At 42.0% G+C, this 22,209-nt stretch overlaps 1 protein-coding gene and 1 long non-coding RNA gene across 2 annotated transcripts in view, besides 1 other annotated feature; one reads left to right on the plus strand and one right to left on the minus strand.

Annotated features, from left to right (window-relative positions):
• SLC30A10 (solute carrier family 30 member 10) overlaps positions 1-22,209 on the minus strand; it is a 48,654-nt gene that overhangs the window by 18,135 nt on the left and 8,310 nt on the right. The window lies entirely within an intron of this gene.
• Positions 8-302: an enhancer, noted in NCBI's record as "tiled region #9893; K562 Activating DNase unmatched - State 1:Tss". NCBI's record gives its function as "activates a minimal TATA promoter and a strong SV40 promoter by Sharpr-MPRA in K562 cells {active_cell/tissue: K562}" and the evidence as "EXISTENCE:reporter gene assay evidence [ECO:0000049][PMID:27701403]".
• LOC107985281 (uncharacterized) lies at positions 206-6,513 on the plus strand. Its single transcript, XR_001738476.3, has 3 exons — positions 206-726; positions 2,657-2,789; positions 6,286-6,513. It is a non-coding gene; the product is annotated as an uncharacterized LOC107985281 (long non-coding RNA).

Here is a 22,209-nt window from a genome sequence, read left to right on the forward strand (position 1 = left end):
GCTTTTTATAACGCGAGGCCGAGCGCCACCAGTCCCCGCACGTCCAGAGTCTAAAGGAGTGGCGGGGGCAGTATCTGAACAGCCCGTGCACCGCCTCCCGCGGCCCTTTTCCCCTCCCTCGCGGCCTGGGCCTGACTTGGCAGGTGGCCACGAGCCGATGTCTCTCTTTGTGGGACAGGACTGTGCAGAGAGGGGCGCTGCGGAGGAGAGGGGGCGTGTCTGGACGTCAATCTTCACAGACTCCCTCCCCATGCAGAGGTGGGATTCACCCAGACACCCCGCTTCTCCTGGCCCTCAGGGTCGCCAGTGTCCTGTTGACTCAGTCATAAGGGCCTTGGCTGCTGTGGGGTGTGTTCGCTGCGGTGGACTGGGACACCTTCGCGTACGTGCCCATAGGCACCTTGCGGTGCAGATTCCATATTAATCAGGTGCAAGGCCCCGGAGCACAGGCTTGGGGCAACTTGCCCTTGAGGGTGCTTCCTGCTTTTCATTTCGTGAAATGTGACCTCATCCGCCACTCAGCCCTCCACCCTCATTCCACTAACCCCAGGATAAAGCTATTTAATCCTCTCTTGTTCCTCACAGCCATTATAAACGGTGCAGGATCGTTCCTATTACCCACTCATGGCACAAGATCGTCCCCGTTCCCCTTCAGGATCTTCGCTGTCAAGGCTTCCTTCCCTGGGTGAATCGCAGGCAGCCCTCAGGAGAGCAGACCCCACTTCTGTAAGCATGCACTCCTGCCTAGCACTCGAAGGCTGGTCTACTTTGTGGTAGACACAAGTCCCTTGGCCGCCAAAGAAACCAGGGCTGACCTCCTCTGTGTACTTGTCTCATTCTTCATTGAAGAGAATATTCTACTCACCCCCACGTGTCCCTGACAGCATGACCTGATACGCAGTACAATCGACTGACCTACATGAAGGTTTATTCCAAATAAAGACTCTTTTTTTTTTTTGAGACAGAGTTTCGTTGTTGTTGCCCAGGCTGGAGTGCAATGGCGCCATCTCGGCTCACTGCAACCTCCGCCTCTCGGATTCAAGCGATTCTCCTGCCTCAGCCTCCAGAGTAGCTGGGATTACAGGCACCATGCCCGGCTAATTTTTTATTTTTTGTATTTCTAGTAGAGACAGGGTTTCACCATGTTGGCCAGGCTGGTCTCGAACTCCTGACCTCAAGTGATCTGCCCACCTCAGCCTCCCAAAGTGCTGGGATTACAGGCGTGAGCCACTGCACCTGGCCAAGACTCTTCTATTGACAACAGGCTGTGTTCCAAATAAAAGTTATCCAGAAGGTAACTGTCTCCAGGACTCTGGAAGAGGCTGAGGAAGGGACCCTTGAAGAAGGGTGTCTGCTGCTGGTCTCTTCCTGCTGTGGAGGTTTGAGAGGCCTGGCTCCTAGGTTTCTTTGTTGGTTTCTTTTGTTGTCTCATTATCTCATCCCATAGAGGATTTGAAGGTGCAGTCTGGTCATCTCTATTCTCCTTCCCCATCCCTAGCCCCTGAACTTTAACCATTCCTGAAGAATACACATGTAGTTTTGGCTTAGAAATGAATACAAATGTCTTATTCCAAAAACAACAAAAAACAAACAAACAAAAAAAAAACACAGGTCAGGCGTGGTGGCTTACACCTGTAATTTCAACATTTTGGAAGACCGAGGTGGGAGGATCACTTGAACCCAGGAGTTCAAGATCAGCCTGGGCAATATAGGGAAACCCCATCTCTACAAAAAATAAAAATAAAAAAAATTAGCCAGGCGTGTGTGCCTATGGTCCCAGCTATTCAGGAGGCTAAAGTGGGAGGAAGGCTTGAACCCAAGAAGTCGAGACTGCAGTGAGTCGTGGTGGTGCCACTGCACTCCAGCCTGGGTGACATAGCAAGGCCCTGTCTCAACCCCACCTCCCCCCAACCACAGAACATCCTAACCTCTAGCCCTATTCATTGTCCTTAGCCTTGTAAAACATAACCTTGTCTTTCAGTATTTCTGAGGTCCATAACAGCCATGCTAAAGCATCCTTGATCCAAGTCCCACCTTACACCAGATAAGCCTCCAAACTCAGAGCTTATTAAATATTTGCACCTCCAGGAAAATATCCTTATATTGAGAATTAGAGAAAATTGATCATTGGAAGTATTTTCTAAAAATCAACATAAAAATAATCAATAATGTAGAGGTAAGAAGATATAGACTACGGTATTTTTCACTAGTGTAAAATGGGAATAATAATAGTATAGGGAAGATTAAATGAGTTAATATGTGTAAAATGCTTAAAATAGTGCCTGGTACACAGTAAGCACTCAATAAATGTTCTATTATTGTTGTCAATAGTATTAATACTACAGCACATGTGTGATGGAATTACTATTGAACAACAGATGAGACACTCTAATAGACAAAAGAGATTTATCAGAGTACTGTAGCCATTGCTGTTTCTGGCTTAGACTGTCTTCAAACTGTAAAGCTTCTGAAACATTTAATATGACAGCAAGCAAAACAGTCAAAATAAGTGAGGGAAGCCTGGTGGAACTAAACTTGACAAACTAAAGCATTCCTTGCTAATTGCATGTCTTTGTCATTCACCACTGAAAGAAAACCTGAAATCAGCAGAAATGTATCACTGGAGCAAATTGCCCAATTATTTTCCTAACCAAAGGCAGATAAGAATTGTGTCACTGCCCCAGGAGTGCAGTGGATGGAACCATAAAGCCAGTGGCTGAGGAAGCTGGAGGAGCTGGAAGTGGCAGAGGCAGCCTGCCTGGGGGACCCATTCCTGACTTTAAGAAAGGGTAAGTGTTGCCAGATGGTGTCAATAAAAAGCACTGTAGAAAAATGTTTGTACTAAAACTACACACACACACACAGTATATATAAAGTTAATTGATAAAAATACAGGCTGCATTTTATTTTTATTTTTTTTAAGACAGAGTCTACTCTGTTACCCAGGCTGAAATGCAGTGGCCCAATCTCAGCTCACCACAACCTCTGCCCTCTGGGTTCAACTGATTCTCCTGCCTCAGCCTCCCGAGTAGCTGGGACTACAAGTGTGCACCACCACACCCTGCTAATTTTTGTACTTTTAGTAGAGATAGGGTTTCACCACGTTGGCCAAGCTGGTCTCGAACTCCTGGCCTCAAATGATCTGCCCGCCTTGACCTCCTAAAGTGCTGGTATTATAGGCGTGAGCCACCACACCTGGCCAGCATTTTATACTTAACAGCAAATTGTGAGGTTTAAATAGCTTTTGTTTATTGATCTCTTACTCTGCCCAACCCTGTGCTGAGAGTTTTATAAGCATCATCTCATTTCTTCCTCATCACAGCCCCATAAAATAAGTACTATTTTATAGGATAGAACCTGAGATTTTAAGTAACTTACCCAAGACCACACAAGCTGTAAATGATTGATAGATTTGAGCTCTGAACTAGGCATCAAACTCTAGAGCTTACACCCTTTGCTTCCAGATTATACTAACTCAATCATCTTTTTTTTTTTTTTTTTGAGACGGAGTCTCACTCTTGTCACCCAGGCTGGAGTGCAATAGCGTGATCTCAGCTCATTGCACACTCCACCTCCCAGGTTCAAGCAGTTCTCCAGACTCAGCCTCCTAAGTAGCTGGGATTATAGGCACCTGCCACCACGCCCAGCTAATTTTTGTATTTTTAGTGGAGATGGGGCGTGAGCCACTGCTCCTGGCCTTTAATGCTTCTTTTGTTCTAAACAAATGAAATGGTTTTTAAAAGTTCTGTTAGTATTGGTGCAAAACTTGATATGCTACAATTCACAAATTCAGAGATTATGACACTAAAAATTATTTTTATACTGGTATTTGACCAGAAATTAACAATTAGTTTTTTTTTAGAAACTGTAAAAGCATCTGTTTTTGTTTTTAGTTCTACTTGACAAGAGATGACATTGCCTTTGGAGAAGAGAATGGACATCTTTCCAAAGCACCAAATTCTTATTGTGGATGAAGTCAGCTCCTCATTGGTGAATTTATATAATGTGTACGTCTGTAACCTTTTGTACAAAGGTAATTTTTGTACCCCAAAAGTATGCATATTGGGCCTCCAAGTTTTTTTAGAATCCATTAAACTTAAGAGATTCTTGACTTGAGTAACCATTCTTTTTTTTTTTTTTTTTTTTTTTTTTTAGTGATGGAGGCATGAGATGTGCAAAAGATTAAAAATGAGGTAGTGAGGCCAGGCGAGGTGGCTCACGCCTGTAATCCCAGCACTTTGGGAGGCTGAGGTGGGCGCATCACCTTAGGCCAGGAGTTTGAGATCAGCCTGACCAACATGGAGAAACCCTGTCTCTACTAAAAATACAAAATTAACCGGGCGTGGTGGCGCACGCCTGTAATCCCAGCTACTCGGGAGGCTGAGGCAGGAGAATCGCTTGCACCTGGGAGGCAGAGGTTGCAGTGAGCCGAGATCCTGCCATTGTACTCCAGCCTGGGCAACAAGAGCAAAACTCCGTCTAAAAAAAAAAAAAGAAGAAAGAAAAATGAGATAGTGGTCAATACTAATTTGAGTGGGCTATATTTATAAGGGAGTTGTGATTTGCAGCCCACCTAGAACGAAGCAGCTCTAATATGAATGTAAAGCTGTGCCCATCAGCCTGCAGTGTCCTCACCCAAACGCCACCTCCATGGTTTCTTCAAAATGCCACTTGTTCTTGCAACGAAAGAGTATGTCTCCTAATAGCCCTGGCCCAGGAAGTGTTAGGAGCACGAGCATAGCATCACGTGATACCACCTACTTACTGAGAAAATACCAGACTCTAAATAATTTTAATTTTGCACTCACTTTGAGAAAATTTAAAAGGCAGAGTAGCGCTGCAGTTAATAATTTGAGCTTTGGAGTCGGACCGATTTGGAACTAAATCTGGGCTGTGCTTCTCACTTGCAACTGCTCTTGTGACCTGGGGGACACGTTCCTTACTAAACCTTCTCTTTCCTCACCTGTGAAATAGGGATAATAATAGTATCTACTTCATGAGGTTGTCATGAGACTTAAGTGGGAAAAGGTATATAAATTGCTTGGGATAGTGCCAGGTTCATAAGAAAGGCTCAGTGAATATTAACAAAAAATAACCATCACCTGGAGTTTTAAATCCAAGTTTAGAGAGACAGCAGAATATTTTCCTTCACCAAAGGATTCGCTAAGGATTACTTTTAGAGAAAATACACATTTAAGAATTTGTTTACAGATCCATCTGGGGAGCAGTGAAGTTTATGAAGACATAAGATAAAACATGTTTAAGTTTCTGCAATTAGAAGAGAAGTATAGGCCAGGCGCAGTGACTCAACGCCTGTAATCCCAGCACTTTGTGGGGCCGAGGTGGGCGGATCACCTGAGGTCAGGAGTTCAAGACCAGCCTGGCCAACTTGGTGAAATGCCATCTCTACTAAAACTGCCAAATAAAGGCCGGGTGTGGTGGCTCACATCTGTAATCCCAGCACATTGGAAGGCCGAGGCGGGTGGATCATGAGGTCAGGAGATCGAGACCATTCTGGCTAACACGGTGAAACCTCGTCTGTACTAAAAATACAAAAATTTAGCCAGGCGTGGTGGTGGGCACCTGTAGTGCCAGCTACTCGGGAGGCTGAGGCAGGAGAATGGCGTGAACCCAGGAGGCGGAGCTGGCAGTGAGCCGAGATCGTGCCACTGCACTCTAGCCTGGGCAACAGAGCAAAACTCCGTCTCACACACACAAAAAAATACCAAAAAAATTAGCCGGGCATGGTGGTGGGTGCCTGTAATCCCAGCTACTCAGGAGGCTGAGGCAAGAAAATTGCTTGAACCTGGGAGGCGGAGGTTGCAGTGAGCTGAGATCATGTCATTGCACTCCAGCCTGGGTAACAAAAGTGAGACTCCATCTCAAAAAAAAAAAAGAAGAAAAGCATAGTTTGAAAGACAATAGTTCCACATATACAAAATATAGGAACCAAAGTTACCATCTGTTGATCGCATGGATGTAAAAAGATGACATCAATTTTTATATAACACCAGGATGATGCCTTTTTTTCTCGAAGTATTTCAGAATGCATTAAATTTAAGAGATTCTTGACTTGAGGTGAACGCTATTATTTTTCCATGAGATATGGAATGATAAAAGCTGGGTAATGGCTAACACCACTTTGAATGGGCTGCTGATAAAGGAGAAATACTTCCTTGGGCTATTAGATTCATTTGAGAGCAAAGAGGCCAACTGTGGTATCTGGGGTCATCTTGTCATTATTGACACTATAGCACTGCTCTCTGTGTTTCTTACCATCTCCAGGTCACAAGGACAACCCCAGAGACGCACTCATAGAGAAACCCTGTGCTTGGGGTTTGTCAAGGGGACAAGGGTAAGTGAAAACACGAAAATGAAAGGGGTTATGGCTACTAGGAAGAACAGGGGAAAGGGTTAAAGGCAGAACTGGCAGTTTAAGAAACACTTTTCATTCAGAGTTCATCATCATTTACTGATATCATTTGGGGTCTGAATCCTCCTGATGGGTGAACAGTGAGGGGGAAAAATCAGCTTTTAGACTATTTCCAATTCAAATGGAAGCAAAAAGAACTACAAGTTGCAAGAAATAGAGAAAAACCCCTTGATGTTGATTCTAGACCTAATTGTTTTAACTGTAAGTTAAATTGTGTTATTTTGTAAGTTACAACAAGGTTTCCTATGTGTTCTTTGGTGCCATCAGAAACAATCCAACACAGATGGCAACCTTCTTCACTGCTAGATTTCGCCTTAATTTTTAGACTATATGAACATGAAAAAAGCCTTTTGCCCAAGAAATTGTGGAAATAATTTTGTGTGAAGGGGAGAGAGGGTCAAAACCAAAGATATTAATAAATGTCCTTAACTTTATTTGCCAAGTGCACTGGTTGAATATGTAGTGGGACAACATAGGCTTTGGAGCCATGCACATCTAAAATCCAATCTTGCTTCTGTCAGCTCTTCGCAAGTGAGCAAGTCACTCAACTTCTGAGCCTCTATGTTTTCATTTCTAAGCTAGATATAGAGGTATCACTCTCTCAGACAGTAGTTATGAGAATCAAATGAAAAAGCTTATGTAAAGGGTCTTGCATAGTTCCTTTAGTGGATAATCAACAAACATTGGCTCCTTCCATTGATTTCTGGCTGTTGTCATACCCAAAACTATTGTTGACTTCCAGTTGTGGAATCTCCTTCATAGTTATCTAGAGTATCCTACTTTTTATAAAATCATGTATGTCCCCTTAATCCAAATAATCTACTTAGCTAATTATCTTAAAACAAATTAGCTATTGACTAATAAAATATTATATGAATATAAAACATTGATTAATACTATGTTACAAATATAAAAATATTTAAAATAAAATCTTTTGTAAATCTAAACCCAAACCCCCTAGTTTTATCATTGACATCCTTCTTTTGCCATCATGACCTACCTGCTAGTCATGTGGCAGAAAAGTAGAGAGAATCAAGGTATCTGGACTGGGAGACACTATTACTATCACAAAATGAGAGGCTGTTTTGAATATTGAAATGAAGTCTGGAAGAGAACTAAGATTCTTGACCTCTGACATGAAGTTATTGTACAACTTGGACCAGTTACAGAATTTCTGAGCCTTAGTTTCCTAATCTGTAAAATGCAAAGAATAGCCTCATACTACTTAGTGTATCTAGTTGATTTGAATATCAAATAAGATAATGAAGGTACAAATATATAGAAAAATAAAAGGCATTATTGCTGTAATTATGAAGCCATGGACCCACAACCAACATGAGTTCTAGAAAGCAAGCACTGTATTTGTGGCCACCAGTATTTAAATGGGTCAGCTTAAGCTTCAGATTGCCTGGACCCCTCCCTGAACCCCTCCCTGCTTTCCTGTGGTAAGATATCCTGTTCCCTTTGTCCCCTTGGATACAGAGGTAGGCACGTACACCAATCACAGTCCCTCATGCCCTGATCACAATGCTTGGTTCAAGAGATGGGCACTTGACCCAAGATGGGCCAGAGTTCTTCTTTCGGAATTTTTCAAATGAACCTGGGAGAGAGGTTTCATTTCTTGTCTGGTCATTAAACATGAGGATGTGACTTGGAGCCCCTGGTAATCCTGTCTTCCCCTGCTTCTTTCCAATACCCTTCAAACTGCAATAGGAGAGGAAGCAGAAAGAGCTGAGAGGCAGTGGTAGAGAATCTTTGCTTTCCTTCTTCAATTACGCTCCTAATTTGACTTTTGAATGCTGCACCCTCCTGGTTTTCCTTATATTTCATTGACAGTTTCCAAAACACTTACATTCTATTGTGTACCTGTAATTCTGAAAGTGGCTTAGCCACAGTTCTATATTCAAATTGATTTGATGCTCACCAACAGTCTTTTCATACCATGGCTTTCCAATTTCTGAGCTCATCTTGATTCACATTTTGGTTGACTGGATTTCATCTAGTCTTTTTTTAAAAAAAGAAGAGCTCTTGGGTTATCTACATATATATATTTGTTAATGTCATTATGTTGCCATTCATAAATGAGCAAAACTTAGATTAGATGGGTATGAAATTCATAAGTTCGTGTTTTATTTTATTTCTGAGAACTGTATAGACATCTCATCATTGTATCTTGACATTGCATGTCGCTGTGGAAAAATCTGAGTACAGCCTGATATTTGTCCTCAGGCTTTTTCTGCCTAGATGCCTGTGGGATTCTTTCTTTATTTTTGATATTTAGCAACTTCTCCAGAATGTATGTATGAATTATTCCATATCAATTTTCCCTTTTGGTATGCAAATTTTTATCATCATTTAGTTCAGAAAAAAAATCTTCTATTATATCTTCGAATTTCTTTCATGGGGCACTTGTCTGCTTTCTACATCAGGAAACACCTAGTGTGTATATTATGCTGCATGTCTGCTCTTTGTTTTCCATATCTATTATCTGTCTTCCAGTTGCTTTAAATTCCTTGATGAGGCCAGGCACAGTGGCTCACGCCTGTAATCCCAACATTTTGGGATGCCAAGGCGGGCGGATCACTTGAGGTGTGGAGTTCAAGACCAGCCTGCCAACATGGCAAAACCCCATCTCTACCAAAAATACAAAAATTAGTCAGGCGTGCTGGTGTGTGCCTTTAATCCCAGCTACTCGGGAGGCTGAGCACAAGAATCGCTTGAACCTGGAGGCGGAGGTTGCAGCGAACTGAGCTCGCGACACTGAACTCCAGCCTGGGTGACAGAGCAAGACTTAGTCTCAAAAAACTAGAATAATTCCTTAATCAATTTCTCCACCCTGTCTTCTAGCTCACTGATGGTTTTCAGTGGTGCTTATTTTATGCCTCACTGCTTCCTATATGAGTTTCATTTCTGTAATGTTTGTTATCTTTTCCCTAGCCACCGGAGTTCTGACAGTTCATGTTCATTGTTTTATCTGAAAATTTCTTCTGTCACCTGGGGTAATTATTATTTTTCTTCAATGTATTTTTTCTTCTGCCTTTTTTGCTGGTTCCTTTTTTAACTTTTTCTTTGTAGTATCTCTATGTAGTTACCATGTTGGATCTTTGCTGATTATCATGCATCTTTGAGTGGGGCACTTATATCCAAATCTGCTAACAGTGGGGGAAGGGGTTGAGGGATGGAACAAAATATGCTTCTTCCCATCAGGATAAGTCACTCTGGAGATGGCCTACATGGTTCACAATGGAGCTGCCCAGTGCAGTTTTTGATTTGTGTTAGGGGAACACTGCATTCCCCCAAGCTTCACATTTCCATGAGGGCGCCTCCAAAGGCCCATCACTCTAGACATCTTTCTACCACTCCCCTGACTTTTCCCAGAGGCAGGATCACTTCTCTGTCCAGTAAGCTTGGGAGAAAGAGTGCAGCATGCTCAGCTATCCTCTTCTGGGACTTCTTTTTCAAATTTGCCTTCCCCAGGGACCTGCAATCCTGCTACATGAGAGAAGCTAACTGGGGCAGGTTTTGCCCTGTGGAGGGAGGCCTGGGACTGGGTGAGGAAGTTTAATTCTGGGGTGGACGATTAGGAAGCTCTTTGCCACTACATGTCTAAGCCATATCCTTCAATATCAGTAATCAGGTTAATATTTTATGTTCAACTGTCATCCATATCTTATGTTATCAATTGCTTCCAAACCTAGAAGAGTAAGAAATGGGTATTATTTATGTGTCCCTGAAGCCCTAACATATTGGTAAGTTGGCAGGAACCTTGAGAAAGATAAAGATGAGTATCTACAGGCCAAAGTAACCCATGGAGATTGAGCCTGTGGTAAGCAGCTGCCAGGTTTTAATGCTTCAGTAAGAGTGAGTCAGGCAGTCAGGCAGTATTTCAACCTTGGCAGGTCGCAGCAGCTTATTGGCTACAGAAGAATGCTGCTGTCGTAGCTATGGGGCTGTTTTAACAGACCTTAGTGAGCATGAGTTTTTAAGAGCAATTTTTATTACATGCTGCAGTATTACTGTGCAAAGAAAATGAGAGAGAGTAATTTGCTCTCAGAAACAACAGGCAGACTAAGTTAGAGGATTGGAGAGCTTTCTTGGGGCTAGAAAGATACAAAAAAGAAAAATGCCCACATATCTAAATACTCTTAAAAGGGGGATGAATTAGATGAGACTGGGGACTAGCAACCAAATAAATCTTTCAGAAGCAGGAAGGCAATATTTCAGATAGTTGCCTGGGATTTGGAATGCACCTCTACCATCAGTGGGATACAGATCCAGGCAGCTATTAAAAGCTACCCTCTCAAAGCTGTGAATGCCATCCAAAATAAATGCAATTGGGGAATACAACAGTTATTCCATGACTGTCCTATCATTATGTGTTGGGTGTGTGGAGGGCAGGTCATGGGTTTCTTTTTTTTCCTTTTTTTTTCTTTGAGACCAAGTCTCACTCTGTCGCCCAGGCTGCAGTGCAGTGGCCATTATCTTGGATCGCTGCAACCTCCACCCCCCCAGGTTCAAGTGATTCTCCTGCCTCAGCCTCCCAAGTAGCTGGGATTACAGGCACCTGCCACTGCGCCCAGCTGATTTTTGTATTTTTAGTAGAGAGGGGGTTTCACCATCTTGGCCAGGCTGGTCTTGAACTCCTGACTTCATGATCCACCCACCTCGGCCAGCCAAAGTGCTGGGATTACAGGTGTGAGCCACCACACCTGGCCCATTTCTTTCTTTACTTCACAGATCTCCAAATCAAGAGGAAGATAACTCAAGGAGCTGTATCTGAGGAATTGTCCCAGAAGAGCCTCTTTAACCATGGACCCATTCAAGGTGACAAGATCCTGGACTTGGAGCTCATGCCGCATGGACTGAGATTTTAGGGATCTTAGGGAGGAGTGAGAGTCTTTTGCATGTGGAAGTGATGAGAATCATAGCCAAGGGGCAAACCGGGCAGATTGTTTTTCTAAAGATGGCCATAATCATATCTCTACTCCACGTTCTCCTAGTCCACATGTTCTTCTACAGGGTGACCTTGATACGCCTTCCATTCAAAGGCCGACTCTATGTGCTTGACACTCCTTCCATCTTGTCACTTGCTTGCAATCCACAGACTCGAAGGTTGAATCAGAAAAGGCAATGGAGCTTCTACCTTGTTTGATGGAGCACTCATGCTTGAAACGCTGAGCCACCACACCCAATGTCCTGAGACCACCCTAGTGCAAGGAAGCCAAGACGCAAGGAGCAGTCACGTGTAGGTGGTCCAGCCAGCAGTCCTATACATTGAGACCTTCCAGCCCGGATGCCAGACCTATAAGTGAATGAGCCTTCAAGTGACTGCAGCCTCAAGCCATCAAGTCACCCCTAGCCTTTGAGTCTTCCCAGCTGAGGCCTCAGACATCGTGGAAGCACACAGCCTGTTCCCACTGTGTGCTTTCCAAATTCTAGCCCACTGAACCCCTGGGTTCATAAAACAATTGCTATTTTATGCCAGTACATTTGGGATGGTTTGTTATAGAGTAACTGGAAGGGAGAACCACCATGTGAAAGATTGGGAAGCCGTACAAAGGGTCTATAAAGTTTGGAACTATAAGAGAGGAGAAGACAATGGATATTGGCATAGAATATTTAGGGTATTATTAGATGAGCTTCAAAACAAAATAGTTATTGTGGGGCAGGGTTTTCCCATGTCCTGAGTGAACAGATTAAAAAACAGACAAAGGTAGGATTCTCCTGACAGGCACAGGAAGGCCGAGACTTACTGAATGGGATCTAGGCAGGACAATAATAGTTTGAGTCCAGGCCTGGGTCGATTTTTGGTTTAATTGGAAAATGCCTTTCAAGTGAGACTATCTAACTCAGAGAGGTGAGGGTTGATCAGATTTGTTTGGACAACTGTTGCCTTTGGCAGACCCATAAAACCCTGACTTCATTTCTCTCACTGAGAGTAGAAAAAAATCTGTTTGAATAATAAATATCTGACCCAGAAAACCATGACAAAGTAAAAGGAAGAAAGTCCAATGAAAATGCCAGCCTACAGGAGGTAGAGAAGGAAAAAGACCAGCTTACGAACTTGATTAAACCATTAACAACCTAACTGAGCCTTCCTGAGAGGAGAAGGAGAACACAGAAGGAAATAAAACACGAGAAGCACGTTCCAAACTTCAGAATGAGACATTCAGTTGAATGATATGCTTGCAACCTTCAAAAGCTGTGGAAAGATAATGTTTGGAGGAGCATAAAGCAGAAACAACAAGACAAATTTGAAGCCTTCAAAACAGCTTCAGCTCAGGAGTTTGCTAAGGCTGAACTTCAGATGAATGTGAGCATGAGGGAGCAGCAGGATTAGAAGCAGGATTCACAGGTCTAAGCAGTGCTAGAGCTACAGGCAGTCACAGCAGTGAGTATAGATGGTGCCCAAGTGTAGACAGAGCCCAAAGCAGGGGCTTCAAGTGGAAATGGAATTAAGGACCTTCCTTCCCTTCCTTCCTTCCTCCCTCCCTTCCTCTCTGCCTTCCTCTCTTCTTCCCTTCCTTCCTTCCTTCTTTCCTTCCTTCCTTCCTTCCTCCCTCCCTTCCTCTCTGCCTTCCTCTCTTCTTCCCTTCCTTCCTTCCTTCTTTCTTTCATTCCTTCCTTCCTTCCTTCTCTCCCTCCCTCCTTTCCTTCCTCCCTTCCTTTCTCCCTTTCTCTCTCTCTCTCTCTCTCTCCCCCTCTCCCCTTCTCCCTCTCTCATCTCTTTCACATGCTGACTGGAAATGTACCACAAATAAAATCTGCAGCCCAGGATGTCACTGCTGCACATATCTAAACTCTGCAAGCAAGCAAGAATGTTTTCAATGTCACTCGCTGGGAAAGGATACCATGTGTTTACCAGATAGGAAAACTTGGTGCCATAATCGATCTCCTGTTGTGAAAGCTCTGCCAGTGGACCTAAGTACCCAGGTCTTGGCCCTGGCCAGGTCTGGCAGATACTGGCTGGTATCTTTGAGAGGCAAAAACCAAGAAGACTTCTTTCCTTTCTGAGTCTCTGCTGTGGCCATAAAAAGCAATAAAGATGGCCTGGTTTATAGTAAGTGCTAAATTCTGGTAATCTAAATTTTCCTATAACTGTTCTAGCTCTGGGATAAGGTTTCAGACTTTTTGAAATCTTCAGAAAGTGTGGCAGAAAATAAAAAATGTACTCAAAGGCCAAAAATGAAGTAAAAGTCAAAATCCAGAAAGGTAAGTTGAAGTCAGAATCTGACTTAAGAGCATCTGTCCAATAAAGACAAATGCTCTAGCCTTGAGTTTTGACAGCCACATGATCATGGATGTTATAAGAGACAAAACTGAGATCGATGCGAGATGGAGAGTTGGACCAGAGATCCCCTTACAAAGTTTGACTCCTTGATCAAAGGTTGAACCAAAATGAAATGAACAATCAAATAAACAAACAAAAACCCGCTGCCCCAAAGGCGACAACAAGGAAACTTGAATCTGTTAGCCTTGGTTGTGGACATAGGGAAAACTACCTCCCATGGGAAGTTGAAACTATAATGTGGTCTTCATGTGGTAATGCAGTCTAAAGTCATGCTACGTATGTAATAATAATAACTCAGGCAAACAATTTTTTAAGTATTTACAAGTTGGTAATGCCCTCAGGCACCTGACAGAAGCAAATGCAAATCTTCTTGGAAAAATGTACCAACAATCTATTCTTCAAAGAATTCCCTCAGAGAAAGCTTTGTTGAACATTAATTCACAATCAAAAATCATGAAATGGCTGGGCAAGGTGGCTCATGCCTGAATCCCAGCATTCTGGGAGGCTGAAGAGGGAGGATCACTTGAGGTCAGGAGTTTGAGATCAGTCTGGCCAACATGATAAAACCCCATCTCTACTGAAAATACAAAAATTTGCCAGGCATGGTGGCAAGGGCCTGTAATCCCGGCTACTTGGGATGCTGAGGCACAAGGATCACTTGAATCCGGGAGGCAGAGGTTTCGATGAGCTGAGATCATGCCACTGCACTCTAGCCTCAGTGACAGAGCAAGACTCTGTCTCAAAAATAAAAATAAAAATAATCATGAAATACACAAAATGTGAGAAGGTAAACCACCTTGAGAGAAGCAGCAAAAATAATAAACAGAATCAGACATGCAAAAATTGCAGATGTTGAGAATACCAGATACATAATATAAACAAAGTATGTTTAATAGAAGGGAATAAAGGAAGGACTGGAAAGTATAAGTAAAGAACAAGTCATCATAAATGAAAAGTAGATTAGTTGAAATTAAAAACTCAATAGAAGGTGCCCCTGCTTCTTCTAGTCAGGATGCTATCAGTGAAGTCATAATGGAGACCCTGATCTCCCGCACCTGCTCAGCACTAATGAAGCACCCCCTATCTCAGGGTGTCAACAGAGGCCAAGTGGGAAACTTGGACTTCCATTCTCATCTTAAAATAACAAGCAGCACCCCTTCCACCAGCACAGTGTCAGAGGAGACCTGCTCAAACAGAAAATTTAATAAGATTGACAGCCTCATAACTCAGAATGTCCAGGATTCAACAGAAAATCTACCATCATAGCAAAGCCAGGAAAATTTTAACCTGAGTGTAAAAAAGACACTGACATTGAGGTAGCAAAATGTTACAAATTTTCTGGCAAGCAGTTTTAAAGTAGACATCATACAAATGCTTCAACAAGCAATTACAAATACATTTGAAACAAATAAAAATACGGAAAGTCTCAGCAAAGAAATAGAAGATAAAAGGAAGAATGAAATAGAAACTTTAAAAATGAAAACTACAATAACTGAAATAAAAACTCAATGGGAGGCCAGGCGCGGTGGCTCACACCTGTAATCCCAGCACTTTGGGAGGCCGAGGTGGGTGGATCACAAGGTCAGGAGATTGAGACCATCCTGGCTAACATGATGAAACCCCGTCTCTACTAAAAAATATAAAAAATTAGCAGGGCATGGTGGTGGGCACCTGTAGTCCCAGCTACTCTGGAAGCTGAGGTAGGAGAATGGCGTGAACCCAGGAGGTGGAGTTTGCAGTGAGCCGAGATCATGCCACTGCACTCCAGCCTGGGTGACAGAGTGAGACTCATCTCAAAAAAAAAAAACCTTCAATGGGGCTCTTGGCAGTGAATACAAAATTTTAAAATTAAAAAAAAAACTGGCGGGGCATGACAGCTTACGCCTATAATCCCAGCACTTTGGGAGGCCAAGGCGGGCAGATCACGAGGTCAGGAGATGGAGACCATCTTGGCTAACACGGTAAAACCCCGTCTCTACTAAAAAATACAAAAAATTAGCCAGGCATGGTGGTGGGCACCTTTAGTGCCAGCTACTCAGGAGGCTGAGGCAGGAGAATGGTGTGAACCTGGGAGGCGGAGCTTGCAATGAGCCGAGATCGCGCCACTGCAGTCCAGCCTGGGTGACAGAGCAAGACTCTGTCTCAAAAACAAAACAAAACAAAACAAAACAAACACTAAATGGATGGGCCCAGTAGCAGAAATGGGGAAGACAGAGGAAAGAAAGTATTTTATCTGAACAACAGAGAGAAAATAGAATAAAATAAGTCTCAGGGACCTGTGTAACTATAACAATTATAAATAGGAAAAGATAAAGGGAGGTAAGGTTTCTACATTTTATTCAAACTAGCAAAGTATTGACAGCATTAGCCAGTGATAAGTTATGTATGTGCAATCTAATACCTAGAGCAACTACTAACAAAGCTCTATAAAGACATACTCAAAAGCACTACAGGGAAATCAAAATGAAATTCTAAATAATGTTCACAGAAGCCAGGAAACGGAAAATAGAGAAATAAAAAATAGAAGGAACAAACAGAAAATGAAAAGTAAAATAGCAGTCTCAAGCCCCAACCTTCAATAATTGCGTAAATGTAAATTGTCTAAACACACCACTTAAAAGACAGAAAACTGGCAGAGTGGCTAAAACACATATCTAACTATATCCATACCATGGAATCCTTTTCAGCAATAAAAAACAACAACTGATACATGCAACAAGTCAAATTAATCTTAAGAGCATTATGCTGAAAGAAAAAAAGCCCATTTCAAAGGTCACATATGTATGATTCCATTTATTTAACATTCTTGAAATAAAAATATTATAAAGATGGAAAACAGATTATTAGTTTCCAGAGCATAGAGATAGGGTGTAAAGGTAGGAAGGGTGGCTATGACTACTAAAGGGTACCATGAGGGATATTTTTGTAATGATGATTTTGGTGATGGTTATACAGAACTACACTTGTGACAAAAATCTCGTAGAATTATATAACTCATTGTATGAATGTAAATTTCTTGGTTTGGAAATTGTACTATCATTCCATTGGGGAAAACTTGACAAAGGGTACATGAGACTTCTATGTACTATTTTTGTAACTTACTGAGAATATAAAGTGATTTCAAAATAAAATTTTAAAAAATTGAATGGGCAGGTTAATGAGAACCGAAGTTAAAAAACAAAAACTAGAAATAAATGAAGGTAAATCTGAAAAACCACGTAGAATGCAACACAGAACAACAAAAATGTGAAAACAGCAAAATGTGAAAAAAGAAGTTACAAAACATGGAGGACAGAATAAGATCAAATATTATCTAATTAGCATTGCAGAAGGAGAAAGTACAAGGAACAGGGGAAAGCCAAAACTAGAAGAGATAATGTTTGAAAAATCTTCTGGAATTTATGAAAGACATAAATGCTTGGATTTAATCCCCAGATGGGATTTTTTAAAAAGAGTCCACATATGGAAATATGATTACAAAACTGAAGAACATCAAAGACAAAGAGAAGATCTTTAAAAGGTGGAGAACATGAAAGTCTTGGTGCTAAACTTATGCAACTTTGGATGCCCTGAAGGAATGGCATCCATTCTAGTGGAAAACAATCCAGACTGAAACTGCTGAAGGAACTCCAACTCCACCAGGCATGAAACTATACTCAAACTGAGACTGTGCCCAAAAGAGGAAGCTTGGGGGTTTTGTGGTTTTACTTGCCTTTGGTCTTGCCTTTAGATTAATAAACAGTGGTTTTGATTTCTTTGGCTATTAATACATAAGTTCAAAGATATTTAATTTTGAAATTTAATTTTCTGTTATAATTTGATAATAGGAAGGGATTCATATTGCTAAAATTTGGGGCATTTTTATATTGCTGACATTGAATTGTTAGCATATCTTGATACTATCACTTTGTGTCACTATATAATTGCCAATGAGCAATATTGAACATTTGGGGGCCTCAGAGTTAATTTAACTAGTATACTTACTCTTCTAACCCTTTTCAGTCATTGAGGGTATCTAAATTGCCAAACCTGTTCCAAAGGATGAAATCCAAAGGAAGCAGTGGTTGATATTGGGAGCACAAGCTTTATGGAAATGCAGCAGTACAGTCCTGATAAACTGTTCATCTAGTCCTTCCAGGGGAGCCAGGAGTGAAGGGAACATAAATCTGGAGAGTGTTGGGGGAGACTGCCATTCCTCTTGTCTTGTGTTTCCATGAGACGACCACCAGTGTAGCCTCCATTCCCTCCCCAGTCCCCATGTAAGTAGTCACTCTGAGGGTGGAAGGGTCTTCTCTCACTGGCGGGTTAGGTTGAAGAAATGGATTAAGCCTGGCTCAGCCCTTCCTGGGCTTCCTCCTTCCAACTGCCTGCCCACTGAGAAGGCACATTCTCTCTGTTCCTGGGCCCACCCCTGCTCTTCCAGTTGTTGTGCTCTGCTTGTAAGAGGATAGGTGAGTTTACTCCACAGAATTAGTATTAGGAAGCCAATTGTGACATCCAAGCTACACTCTCCAAAACAGCTTTTACCAAAAACACTGAGCTACTATTTTCATTGCTATTGGACTTTTATTCCTTATTTCTCAAGTAGTTCCAGATTTATGAATGAAGTTGTTTATTGGCCCCCAAAAGTCCCAACAATGTGCTCAACTGGCTCTGGTCAGCATGTGTGGAGCTAGTTGCTAGTTCTCCTCTTTCCTCTCCTTCATGACCTTAAGAGAGTTTCTTCAGGTAAAGAATTCTACAGAAAACAGATGGTCCATTCAGCCAGTTGCCCCTTCAACCTGACTTCTCTGCTGTTCCTTTGTAAGGAGCCAGCCCCTACCTCCCATTGACCTGATGTAAGGATCATCTTTATTTTATTTCCTATTAAGCTGATACATTTTTAAAGATCTCATGGCAGATGAAGAACAAGAGCATAGGTATACTTTATCAAAAACTACATCCTCAGGGTGCAATGGCTCATGCCTGTGATCCTAGGATTTTGCGAGGCCAAGGTGGAAGGATTGCTTGAGGGCAGGAGTTCGAGATCAGCTTGGGCAACATGGTAAGACCCCCATCTCTACAAAAAAATGAAAAATAATGGTTGGGTATGGTTGGCAGGCACCTGTGGTCTTGGCTACTTAAGAGGCTGAGATGGGAGGATCGCTTGAGCCTGGGAGGTTGAGGCTGCTGTGAGCTGTGGTCATGCCACTGCACTCTGGCCTGGGTGACAGAGCAAGATCCTGTCTCAAAAAAAAATTACCTCCTCAAAATTCTCTAAAGACACCTATTCAGGTGCAGACAGTATATATCAGGACATGGACTATGGAAAACATTCTAAGGACAGGGAATCTCCAGATATTATTGCCTCTCATTAAAAAACAATGAGGCCAGGTGTGGTGGCTCACACCTGTAATCACGCCTGTAATCCCAGCTACTTGGGAGGCCAAGGCAGGAGAATCACTTGAACCCGGGGGGCAGAGGTTGCAGTGAGCCAAGATCACACCATTGCACTCCAGCCTGGGCAACCAATAAGAGAGAAACTCCGTCTCAAAAATAAATAAATAAAAATAAAAACCCCATTGTCTCAGCCCAAAATCTCCTTAAGCTGATAAGCAACTTCAGCAAAGTTTCAGGATACAAAATCAATGTACAAAAATCACAAGCATTCTTATACACCAATAACAGACAAACAGAGAGCCAAATCATGAGTGAACTCCCATTCACAATTGCTTCAAAGAGAATAAAATACCTAGGAATCCAACTTACAAGGGACGTGAAGGATCTCTTCAAGGAGAACTACAAACCACTGCTCAATGAAATAAAAGAGGATACAAACAAATGGAAGAACATTCCATGCTCATGGGTAGGAAGAATCAATATCATGAAAATGGCCATACTGCCCAAGGTAATTTATAGATTCAATGCCATCCCCATCAAGCTACCAATGACTTTCTTCACAGAATTGGAAAAAACTACTTTAAAGTTCATATGGAACCAAAAAAGAGCCCGCATCGCCAAGTCAATCCTAAGCCAAAAGAACAAAGCTGGAGGCATCACATTACCTGACTTCAAACTATACTACAAGGCTACAGTAACCAAAACAGCATGGTACTGGTACCAAAACAGAGATATAGATCAATGGAACAGAACAGAGCCCTCAGAAATAATGCCACGTATCTACAACTATCTGATTTTTGACAAACCTGAGAAAAACAAGCAATGGGGAAAAGATTCCCTATTTAATAAATGGTGCTGGGAAAACTGGCTAGCCATATGTAGAAAGCTGAAACTGGATCCCTTCCTTACACCTTATACAAAAATTAATTCAAGATGGATTAAAGACTTAAACGTTAGACCTAAAACCACAAAAACCCTAGAAGAAAACCTATGCATTACCATTAAGGACATAGGCATGAGCAAGGACTTCATGTCTAAAACACCAAAAGCAATGGCAACAAAAGCCAAAATTGACAAATGGGATCTAATTAAACTAAAGAGCTTCTGCACCGCAAAAGAAACTACCATCAGAGTGAACAGGCAACCTACAAAATGGGAGAAAATTTTCGCAACCTACTCATGTGACAAAGGGCTAATATCCAGAATCTACAAAAAACTCTAACAAATTTACAAGAAAAAAACAACCCCATCAAAAAGTGGGCGAAGGACATGAACAGACACTTCTCAAAAGAAGACATTTATGCAGCCAAAAAACACATGAAAAAATGCTCACCATCACTGGCCATCAGAGAAATGCAAATCAAAACCACAATGAGATACCATCTCACACCAGTTAGAATGGCAATCATTAAAAAGTCAGGAAACAACAGGTGCTGGAGAGGATGTGGAGATAGGAACACTTTTACACTGTTGGTGGGACTGTAAACTAGTTCAACCCTTGTGGAAGTCAGCATGGTGATTCCTCAGGGATCTAGAACTAGAAATACCATTTGACCCAGCCATCCCATTACTGGGTATATACCCAAAGGACTATAAATCATGCTGCTATAAAGACACATGCACACGTATGTTTATTGCGGCACTATTCACAATAGCAAAGACTTGGAACCAACCCAAATGTCCAACAATGATAGACTGGATTAAGAAAATGTGGCACATGTACACCATGGAATACTATACAGCCATAAAAAATGATGAGTTCATGTCCTTTGTAGGGACATGAATGAAATTGGAAACCATCATTCTCAGTAAACTATCGCAAGAACAAAAAACCAAACACCGCATATTCTCACTCATAGGTGGGAATTGAACAATGAGAATACATGGACACAGGAAGGGGAACATCACATTCTGGGGACTGTTGGGGGGAGCGGGAAGGGATAGCTTTAGGAGATATACCTAATGCTAGATGACGAGTTAATGGGTGCAGCACACCAGCACGACACATGTATACATATGTAACTAACCTGCACATTGTGCACATGTACCCTAAAACTTAAAGTATAATAATAATAAAATAAAATAAAATAAAAATAAAAATAAAAAAAGAAAAATTGGTGTATTTCATAATCATCAGAGACAGTTGTACACAATGTTTTCAAAAAGCCACAATGACTATTGTCTCCATCAAAAGAACAAGAAAGAGGCAAAAAATTAGAAATATAATGTCTCCATCTTGTAAACAGCTAGCCAATAAGAAAACCAAAATAATAAGCTTACTTTCACCCTACCTTCCTGAAAAATCAAGCTTCTCAGCAAAGAAAATGGGGAGTATCATTATTCACTAGACAGGACTGCAGGAAAATATTCAAGAGGCAAACTATCTGTTGACAGAAGAGAGGTGCAGTAATACAAAGTCCAGCTCTAACATCAACTTTGGGTTAGCCATAAAACGGTTGATGCCTCAGTTTCTTCATCTGTATCTTGGAAATTACAGTCTAGTATATGAGCCACATTTGCATTATTTCAATGAGCTACATATTGACATTGCATTACCATTAAAGCAGTTTAAAATATGTAGTTTTAAAAGTACAAGTAATGGCCTGCTACAAAATGCCATCTTGAGCACTGAAAGATGGGGAAGCTAACATTTACAAGAGCCTTCTTAAAAATCTGGCTGGGCGCGGTGGCTCATGCCTGTAATCCCAGCACTTTGGGAGGCCGAGGTGGGTGGATCACGAAGTCAGGAGATCGAGACCATCCTGGCTAACACAGTGAAACCCCATCTCTACTAAAAATACAAAAAATTAGCCAGGCATGGTGGCGGGTGCCTGTAGTCCCAGCTACTGGGGAGGCTGAGGCAGGAGAATGGTGTGAACCCGGGAGGCAGAGTTTACAGTGAGCCAAGATCGTGCCACTGCACTCCAGCCTGGGCAACAGAGGAAGACTCTGTCTAAAAATAAATAAATAAATAAATAACACATAGGCTGGGCGTGTTGGCTCATGCCCATGATCCCGGTACTTTGGGAGGCCGAGACAGGTGGATCACCTGAGGTCAGGAGTTTGAGACCAGCCTAGCCAACATGAAACCCCATCTCTACTAAAA

This window comes from Homo sapiens, chromosome 1, assembly GCF_000001405.40.
Source record: "Homo sapiens chromosome 1, GRCh38.p14 Primary Assembly".
Lineage (NCBI taxonomy): Eukaryota > Metazoa > Chordata > Mammalia > Primates > Hominidae > Homo > Homo sapiens.